This window comes from Homo sapiens, chromosome 7 (genome assembly GCF_000001405.40).
Source record: "Homo sapiens chromosome 7, GRCh38.p14 Primary Assembly".
NCBI classification, from domain to species: domain Eukaryota; kingdom Metazoa; phylum Chordata; class Mammalia; order Primates; family Hominidae; genus Homo; species Homo sapiens.
The window spans coordinates 102,230,480-102,240,148 of record NC_000007.14 but is presented as its reverse complement, the minus strand read 5'-3'; the positions used below and the strand labels follow the sequence as shown (position 1 = coordinate 102,240,148).

Sequence of the window (9,669 nt, the reverse complement as noted above, 5' to 3'; positions counted from 1 at the left end):
GGTCATGGCAGATACCACCTGTTTCTAACTATGTGACAGTGACGGGAAGGGACGTGGCCTTACATCTCTGCAGTTAAAACCTCCAATAACACCTAAGGAACTGCCAGGCGTGGTGGCTCACGCCTGTAATCCCAGCACTTTGCGGGGCCGAGGTGGGCAGATCACCTGAGGTCAGGATGTTTGAGACAAGCCTGACCAACATAGTGAAACCCCGTCTCTACTAAAAATACAAAAATTAGCCGGGCTTGGTGGTGCATGCCTGTAATCCCAGCTACTTGGGAGGCTGACGCAGGAGAACTGCTTAAACCCAGGAGGCGGAGGTTGCAGTGAGCCGAGATTGCGCCAATGCACTCTAGCCTGGGCAACAAGATTGAAACTCCATCTCAAAAGAAAAGAAAAGAAAAGAAAAAAAAAACCCTAAGGGACCAAGGAACGGACCAATCACCGAGCTCCCAGCGCCCCACCTCCGGCCCCAGCCTCACCCCTGTGCGCCATGGCGGCCTCCGGACAGATCAGCCCCTTCCCCTGGGCCGACCGGCGCTCCCTGTGAGCCAGCCGTCGTACCTGTAGTTGTGGAACCAGTTGATGACGGTGCTGGTTTTCAGGTTGAGCTGGGTGGCGAGGTCTTCGATGGTTTTTGGTGACGGGTATGGCTTTTGCTGATACGCTCGTTTCAGCGCCTCCTTCTCCTCCGGAGCCAGCACCACCCGGGGTTTCTTCAGCTGGTGCTGGGGCTGGGGGCTGGCGCCCTGGCTGTACTCGGTGCCGACAGAGGGCGGTTCGCAGGGCTGGCTGTCACTGACTGAGCTGTGCCGCCGCTTCATGTAGGCTGCGGAGGAAGAGATGGCAGACTAAGGTCAGGCCCAGCTGGGACAGCAGCCCAAATCCCCAGTCCCGCTAGCGGGACGGCACAGTGCCGGCTTGCAGGACTTTGCATAGAGCATCTCAAAACACTAAGATGAGGCTGGGCATGGTGGCTCATGCCTGTAATCCAAGCACTTTGGGAGGCCGAGGCAGGCAGATCACTTGATGTCAGGAGTTCAAGACCAGCCTGGCCAATATGGTGAAACCCCGTCTCTACTAAAAGTACAAAAATCAGCTGGGCGTGGTGGTACGCACCTGTAATCCCAGCTACTAGGGAGGCTGAGGCAGAATTGCATGAACCTGGGAGGTGGAGGTTGCAGTGAGATGAGATGGTGCCACTGCACTCCAGCCTGAGTAACAGAGCAAGATTCCGTCTCAAACAAAACAAAACAAAACAAAACAAAAGAAACAACGCTAAGATGAGAGCCATTCTGTTACCAGCACATGCTCACCAAGGACCTGCTCTGACGGAATGTCAGGTCCTCACCTGTCCCTGCACAACTTAACAGTTTAGTAGGGGAGGCAGAGAAGTATCCAGAGAGATGTTCCCAGCAGAGTGAAAAGTGGGGTGGGGGTAAGTAAGTGCAAGAGACCATGGGGATACTGAGAAGAGTTCCTCGGCCAGGCCTGGGTGTGGGCGGCAAGCCACCCAGGTACCGAGGCAAGAGACCGAGGACACAAGCTGTTCTAGTATAATAAAATATAAAACAAGAATAGTTACACCAGATATAGATCTTAGATATGATTATATATGAATATCATTAATCATTAGTTTGTAGCAATTACTCTTTATTCCAATATTATAATAATCCTTGCTCTATAACCATAACCTAGGAAAAACCAGGCCATACAGAGATAGGAGATGAGGGGACACAGTGAGGAGTGACCAGAAGACAAGAGTGCGAGCCTTCTGTTATGCCCAGACAGGGCCACCAGAGGACTCCTTGGTCTAGAGGTAACGCCAGCGTCTGGGAAGACGCCCGTTGCCAGGCGGACCGTGGTCTAGCGGTAGCCTCAGTGTCAAGGAAAAACACAGGCTACTTAGCAGACCGGGAAAGGGAGTATCCCGGGAAAGGGAGTATCCCTTTCCCCGGGGGAGTTTAGAGAAGACTCTGCTCCTCCACCTCTTGTGGAGGGCCTGACATTGTCAGGCTTGCCCGCAGTTATCTGGAGGCCTAACCATCTCCCTGTGATGCTGTGCTTCAGTGGTCACGCTCCTAGTCTGCCTTCATGTTCCATCCTGTACACCTGGCTCTGCCTTCTAGATAGCAGTAGCAAATTAGTGAAAGTACTAAAAGTCTCTAATAATGGTGTAGGTTGTTTCTCTCTTTGTCTCCTCTCTCTCTCTGCCTCGGCTGCCAGGCAGGGAAGGGCCCCCTGTCCAGTGGACATGTGACCCACGTGGCCTTACCTATGATTGGAGATGGTTCACTCTCCTTATCCTGCCCCTTTGTCTTGTATCCAATAAATATCAGTGCAGCCTGGCATTTGGGGCCACTACCAGTCTCCACAACTTGGTGGTAGTGGTTCCCCGGGCCCAGCTGCCTTTTATCTCTTTGTCTTGTGTCTTTATTTCTATACTCTCTCGTCTCCACACACGGGGAGAGACCCACAGACCCTGTGGGGCTGGTCCCTACACCTGGGGAGGCAGAAGGGGAAGTTGCCTAGAAGAGATGATGTTTAAACTGAATCCTGAAGGACATCGCCGGGCGTGGTGGCTCTCGCCTATAATCTCTGCACTTTGGGAAGCTGAGATGGGAGGATTGCTCGAGCCTAGGAGTTTGAGACCAGCCTGGAGAACATAGAGAGACCCTGTCTCAAAAAAAATTTAAAAATTAGCCAGTGTGGTGGCGTGCACCTGTAGTCCCAGCTACTCGGGTAGCTGGGATGGGAGGATCACTTGAGCCCAGAACACCGAGGCTGCGTGCACCCGAGTAGCTGGGACGGGAGGATCACTTGAGCCCAGAACACCGAGGCTGCAGCAGTGAGCTATGATTGCATCACTGCCCTCCAGCCTGGGCAACAGAGACCCTGTCTCTAAAAAAATAAAATAAACAGCTTAGGCAAGGGATTTCCTTAATTAACTTGCCATTTTGTCATGAGAACTCAGAAGCAATTGAGAAGGTAAATCTTCCCCATAGAAAACCCAAACAGCGGAGTCAAAGCTGCTGGATCCAGAGAAAGGAGTTGGATTGTCCAACCGTGGGGACTCCCTCCAGTTCCCTCCTAGGGGACAGACGACTGACCAGGGGCTGGCAGGGGGCTGGAGAAGGCCTCTCTAGGGAGCAGCCTTTGTGGCCGGCACCCCCAGGAGTGAAGAGAAGGCCATCGGACCACAGCGGCTTTGGATACTAGGGCACCTTTGGAAAGGTCTGGGCCCCGCAGAAACAGTAATTCATTTGTAACACAAGAGGGCGCCCCGAGCCTGTGCCGAGGGAAAGATGGGAGGCCTGGGAAGCCCTGGAGATGTATTTGCGGGGACTAAGGTCCTTTCCTAAGGGCCCCAGGGTGAGAAACACAGCAGGGAGTTGGGTTGTCAGGGCCTCCTCCCTCCTAAGGGCTGAGGGCTGCCTCCTGGCTAGTGCAGGAAGCTTCACGCTGCTCGGGTGAGGGGATCACGGGAAACTCTGCACAGATCTATTGGGTTCATGACAGCATTTTCTCTACTTTTGTTTATGTTGGAGATTTCCCATAATAAGACATTGAAAAGGCCGGGCGCAGTGGCTCATGCCTGTAATCCCAGCGCTTTGGGAGGCCGAGATGGGAGGACTGCTTGAGGCCAGGAGTTCAAGATCAGCCTGGGCAATATAGCGAGACTTTAAAAAACAAAAAACAAAAAACAAAACGAAAAATAAGTTGAAAACTTTTAGGGGGGCAATGTGGCACCAGGCCTCTGCAGCTTACAGCGCTGCCTGGGGCTGCCCAAGAGGCATGGCCTACCTCAGACCCTTAGACTACAGGCCCAAGGGCAGGCCAGAGCTCGCTAGAGGGGCCCTGAATGGGGCAGAGGCCACCACCTGGGCAGGTCATCAGTGGGCAGCAGCAGTGCCCCTGGGTCATCCCAGGGGGGCAGCTCGCAGCACAGAGGCAGCGGATGTATATTTAAGAGCATCTGCTTTGAAATCTGACAGCCCTGAGTATGAATTCCCGTTCCCTACTGATAGGAGCTATTGAAATCTGCTAGGCTGCATGAAGCACCGAGGTTCGTATTTCCTGGATAAGGACATCTAAGCAGAGTCGTGTGGATGAACAGCAGTCTTAGCGCAGTGCCTGGCAAACAGGGCAGTTCTCAGAAAATAGAAGCCTCTATTATTATAAAGGAACCCCCATAGGGTTCCTGGAGGAGGCACCAGACACTCTCTCTCCTTCAGCAGTCCTTTCCCGGGTTGGGTGAGAACGGCGATGCTTGGCTGGAATTTCTGGGTGAATTAAGAACTGACAGGCCTGGGTTCCATACCCACCCCTGGCTCAGATGTTGTGTGCGCGTGTGTGTGTGTGTGTGTGTGGCGGGGACGGGGGTGGGGTGGGCTGGGGCAGAGCCACTCAAGGGCCTGGGATGCCCATTCTTTTTTTTTTTTTTTTTGAGATGGGGTCTCGCTGTGCCGCCCAGGCTGGAGTGCAGTGGTGTCATCTCTGCTCACTGCAACCTCCTCCTCCCAGGTTCAAGCGATTCTCCTGCCTCAGCCTCCCAAGTAGCTGGGATTACGGGCGTGCGCCACCATGCCTGGCTGATTTTTGTATTTTTCAGTAGAGATGGGGTTTCACTATGTTGCTGAGGCTGGTCTTGAACTCTGAACCTCAAGTGATCCACCTGCCTCGGACTCCCAAAGTGCTGGGATTACAGACATGAGCCACTGTGCCCGGCCCCTGGGATGCCCACTCTTAGTTAAGGTCCTCTGCGTTAGCTGATCAGGGAGGCTGCCGCTTCTTACGGTCAGACCGGCAGCAGCTGGTTCCCAGTCTCTGCCCCTAAGGGATGCAGTTCAGCCGCCCAGTGAGCTCCCAGCACCATAGGTGACCTGAGGACTGAGGGTGCTCGAGGGGCGGACTCACTGGCGAGGACCAGCGCTTAGAAACTGCAAACCAAGAGGCACAGCACACCTGGCTTTAGGCATTTTTCCTATGCTGTAGCCTACAGGCTGCAAGAAGAACATGAATCCACATTCGAGATGACATGTGGGTGCACGTGGGGTTATTCCTCTAGGGAGGCCAAATCCCCAGAGGCTGGGAAATAACAGCAAGAGAGAGATCTGTTGTGGCAGGAGTTTGCTTTGTCACTTTCCAGGCCGGGTGACCTTGGTGGAGGCACCGAACCTCTCTGAACCTCTGTTTCCTGATCTACAAAATGCATTTTTTTTTTTTGAGATAGGGTCATGGTCTGTCACCCAGGCTGGAGTGCGGTGGCTCAATCTCTGTTCACCGCCTGCAGGGTTCAAGCGATTCTTGTGCCTCAGCCTCCCAAGTAGTTGGGATTATAGAGGCGCACGCCACCAAGCTTGGCTATATTTTTTTTTTTTTTTTTTTTTTAGTAGTGAGGGGGTTTTGCCATGTTGGCCAGGCTGGTCTTGAACTCCTGACCTCAAGTGATCCGCCTGCCTCAGCCTCCCAAAGTGCTGAGATTACAGGCGTGAGCCGCCGTGCCCTGCCTACAAAATGCATTTCTTATTTCTCTCTCTGATAACAAAGGAAGGCCTCTAGCCACCTGGTACATGCTCAGTAAATGCTGTGATAGCCCGATCAGCCACCCACACAACACAAAAACCAAATGCAGCGCCCCCAGAGCTGTTTCGCTCTCCTTGGTTAAAAGTGCTCCCAGTGCTAAAAAAATCTTTAGATTCAGGCTGCTGGAGAGAAAAAGTTACACAACTTTCCAGCCCTCTTAGGTACTCATTAGCTGATGACCATCCAAAAATATTTTTGCCCTGTCCTCTGGTCCCTTGGTCATGGGTCAATGTCCCTCATCAGCTGTGTGTGAAAGATTTGAAAGAAACAGCCTGTCTATGAATGCGGACGCAGCCGGCCCGGGCGGGGCAGGGAGACTTACCTTTCTTCTCCATCCGTTTCATGTCCATCAGCTTCTCCACATTGTTGGGGTCGTTCAGCCACAGCTGCATCCGGACGAAGGGCTCTCGTCCTTTCAGACTGAGCTTATGCCAGGGTTTGGGGCGGGCAAGGAGGTCAGAGACAGAGCCTTGGGTGAGCCCTAAGATGGTCTCCCCAAATAAGCGCTGGCCTAGAGAGAAAACAGAAGCAAGACAGGTATTGTCACCGAGAGCCAGGGATCTGAAGGGACAAGTACGTGTCAAGGTTAAAATCAGACACAGGAGTTTAAAGGCTCAGGGTTGGGCTGGTGACATCCTAGCTTACAGCAAACATGTGGTAGAAATATATCTTCAACCAGACTTATAATACTCTCCATTGGCCAGGGAGTTGGCATTGCTCTTGCATTCTCCGTACACACAACCAATGACATTTCTCTTTATTATTATTATTTTTTTGAGATGGAGTCTTGCTCTGTCACCCAGGCTGGAGCGCAGTAGTGTAATCTTGGCTCACTGCAACCTCCGCCTCCCAGGTTCAAGCAATTCTCCTGTCTCAGCCTCCAGAGTACCTGGGACTACAGGTGCTCGCCACCACGCCTGGCTAATTTTTGTATTTTTAGTAGAGACGGGTTTTCGCCATGTTGGCCAGGCTGGTCTTGAACTCCTGACCTCAGGTGATCCACCCCCATCAGCCTCCCAAAGTGCTGGGATTATAGGCATGAGTCACCGCATCTGGCCAGTGACGTTTCTCTTAAGCCTTCAGCCTGGTGCGGTGGCCGGAAGGGCCCTTTGGGAGGCTGAAGCGGGAAGATCATTTGAGCCCAGGGGTTTGAGACCAGCCTGGGCAACACAGTGAGACTCAGTCTCTACAAAAATACACACACAAAAAATTAGCTAGGCGTGGTGGCATGTACCTATAGTTCCAGCTACTTAGGAGGCTGAGATGGGAGGATTGCCTGAGCCCAGGAGGTTGAGACTGCAGTGAGCTATGATTGCACCACTGCACTCCAGCCTGGGCAACAGAGAGAGAGACCGTTGTCTCAAAAAAAAAAAAAAAAAGGAAAAAAAAAAGCCTTCAGGCTTTGTATGTGCTGAGGTCACGCTAACACCTGTGGTGTTTCTCAGAGGCAGTGAAATCTCTAAGCCAGAGCTCAGGAGGCCAAACAGCAAACAGGAGACCTCTCTTGTACAACCTCAAATCAGAGGGCAACCTGCGTCTCCTTCCACAATTAGCAAGGTTATCAGGTCTCGCTGAGAAAACGGGGCAGGCAACCCACAATCACAGCAGGACAGAGGAGAGGGAGCTGCCCAGCTCTGCTTTTCTGAGAGGCCGGCCGATTCCAATTCCAAAGTCTGCTTTTGCAGTCTAGGCTGCCTTTGCTAAATAAAGTAACTGGAAGTGGATCAAAACCCCTTTCCTGATACCTTTTCTTCTCCCAGGCAGGGGCAGGCAGCCCGCTTCACAGGCTGATCAGAGGGCATTTCGCTATGGAGAGCACAGCCGCATTGAGTTGGCAATGCTTGTCAGGAGCTTAGAAAGAAAGGCTCACTTCTCTGAGGGCCATTCCGCTGCTGGTTTAGAGGGCCACCGCTTGTAAAGATACAAATTAGGATCAGTGATAACCTGGAAGGCCTGACGGGAGTACTTGAATGAACAGGACTTATTAGGTGGAAGTGGAGACTGGGATCAGAGGGGCCAGCGTTTGACCCCATAAAGTGTACAGAACAGAAGGCACCTCTCCCCATCCGGGGCAGGGAGACGACAGAGGGCTGGCTTGTTCTCTCTGTGGCTTACATCCTCTATGTGAAATAGAAACACCACACACTGGCTTCTAAGAAGGGGGCCTCCAAGTAAAAGTTTACTGCCTAGAAAGCACTGAAGCTGAGACATTAATTTCTTATCAGTCTTTTTAATTTTTTTCCCTAAAGAAACAGGGTCTCGCTATATTGCCCAGGCTGGACTCGAGCTCCTGGGCTCAAGCAATTGTTCTACCTCAGCATCCCGAGTAGCTGGGATTACAGGTGTGCACCACCACGCCTGGCTTAGTCATTTTAAACTTAAGATAAAAAGAAAAAGAAAAAGAAAAAACAAAACAAAACAAAACAAAAAACTTAAAGATAAATTTACTGATTTTGTAAACCTGTGTTTCTCTGCTTTTCAAACTCTTTAGCCTATAAATGTCCCAAGTCCTTATGATTTTTTTTTTTTTAGTTGTTATAAGAAAATTTTGGCCAGGTGCGGTGGCTCACGCCTGTAATCCCAGCACTTTGCAAGGCCAAGGTGGGCAGATCATGAGGTCAGGAGATCGAGACCATCCTGGCTCACACAGTAAAACCCCGTCTCTACTAAAAATACAAAAAATTAGCTGGGCGTGGTGGTGGGCCCCTGTAGTCCCAGCTACTCAGGAGGCTGAGGCAGGAGAATGGCGTGAACCCGGGAGGCGGAGCTTGCAGTGAGCCGAGATCGTGCCACTGCACTCCAGCCTGGGTGACAGAGCGAGACTCCATCTCAAAAAAAAAAAAAAAAAGAGAAAATTTTACTTAATGCTAACATGGTAAAAGAATCTATTTTCATTTCAAGGAGCTTGCTATGTTCGGGAAAGCAATATATATGAATAGCTAGTTGCTCTTTGCTTAGGCCTCCCAGCTGAATGGGGAAAAAAAAATCAGATGATTATTCCTGGAAAATTATCTGTATGACTCCTAGATGTTTCCTAGCCATGACTTTTAATTGTTTTGGGGCTACAGACCCATTTGAGAGCCTGAAGAAAGCTACAAACCTTCACCCAGTAAAACCAACATCAAGGAAAACTCCAGCAATGATGGTGGCATGGATGATAACTTCAGCCTAGGAGTTTTGAGACCAGCCTGGGCAATATGGTGAAACCCCATCTCTATTTAAAAAAAAAAAAAGGCTGGGCGCAGTGGCTCACGCCTGTAATCCCAGCACTTTGGGAGGTTGAGGCGGGCAGATCACGAGGTCAGGAGATTGAGACCATCCTGGCTAACACAGTGAAACCCCGTCTCTACTAAAAATACAAAAAAATTAGCCGGGCATGGTGGTGGGCGCCTGTAGTCCCAGCTACTTGGGAGGCTGAGGCAGGAGAATGGCGTGAACCTGGGAGGCGGAGATTGCAGTAAGCCGAGATCGCGCCACTGCACTCCACCCTGGGCAACAGAGCGAGACTCCATCTCAAAAAAAAAAAAAAAAAAAAAATAGCCGGGCTTGGGGTGTGTGCCTGTAGTCCCAGCTACTCAGTAGGCTGAGGTGGGAGGATTGCTTGAGCCCAGGAGTTCAAGGCTGCAGTAAGCTATGATCGTGCCACTGCACTCCGGCCTGGGCAACAGAGCTAGACCCTATCTGATTTTCAACATTTACACGAAATGCCACTTCCTATAAGGAGGTGGGCAGGAGTGATGCAACTGGTCTGCTTCCTTGGATGTGTGACGAGCTATGAAGTGGGAGATGACTCAAGTCTAGGAATCCCTGCATGATTCAATAACTGATGAACATATGGGAATTAGCCATTTTTTCAAATCAACAGCTACATTTTTATTTTTATGAATTGACTTAATTATATAAGGTCTCATTGATATGACTTTTTCTCTCATTCTGTTTTGTCTGTTGCATACAGACATGGGGATGGGAGGCTTCCACTGGACAAGCTGGCCTAACCTCCAGGCTGTTAGATCACTGAGCAAACTTTAGTGGAACTCAGCTACTCTGTTCTTTTTTTTTTTTTTAATTTTTTTTTTTTGAGAT

At 50.9% G+C, this 9,669-nt stretch overlaps 1 protein-coding gene across 25 annotated transcripts in view, besides 1 other annotated feature; it reads right to left on the bottom strand.

Annotated features, from left to right (window-relative positions):
* The window catches only part of CUX1 (cut like homeobox 1), a 467,952-nt gene that overhangs the window by 43,810 nt on the left and 414,473 nt on the right, over positions 1-9,669 (bottom strand). For 19 of the 25 annotated variants that reach the window (NM_001202543.2, XM_047419908.1, XM_047419912.1 and 16 more), the window contains 2 exons: positions 5,909-6,097; positions 565-829 (listed from right to left, as the gene is read on the bottom strand). The exons of the other annotated variants lie outside the window; for them this stretch is intronic. In NM_001202543.2, the coding sequence (NP_001189472.1) occupies positions 565-829; positions 5,909-6,097 (454 nt within the window). The remainder of the gene's footprint in view (positions 1-564; positions 830-5,908; positions 6,098-9,669) is intronic. 25 annotated transcript variants of the gene reach the window in all.
* Positions 19-88: a silencer, noted in NCBI's record as "silent region_18498". NCBI's record gives its function as "represses an Ori minimal core promoter by ATAC-STARR-seq in GM12878 lymphoblastoid cells {active_cell/tissue: GM12878}" and the evidence as "EXISTENCE:reporter gene assay evidence [ECO:0000049][PMID:35858748]".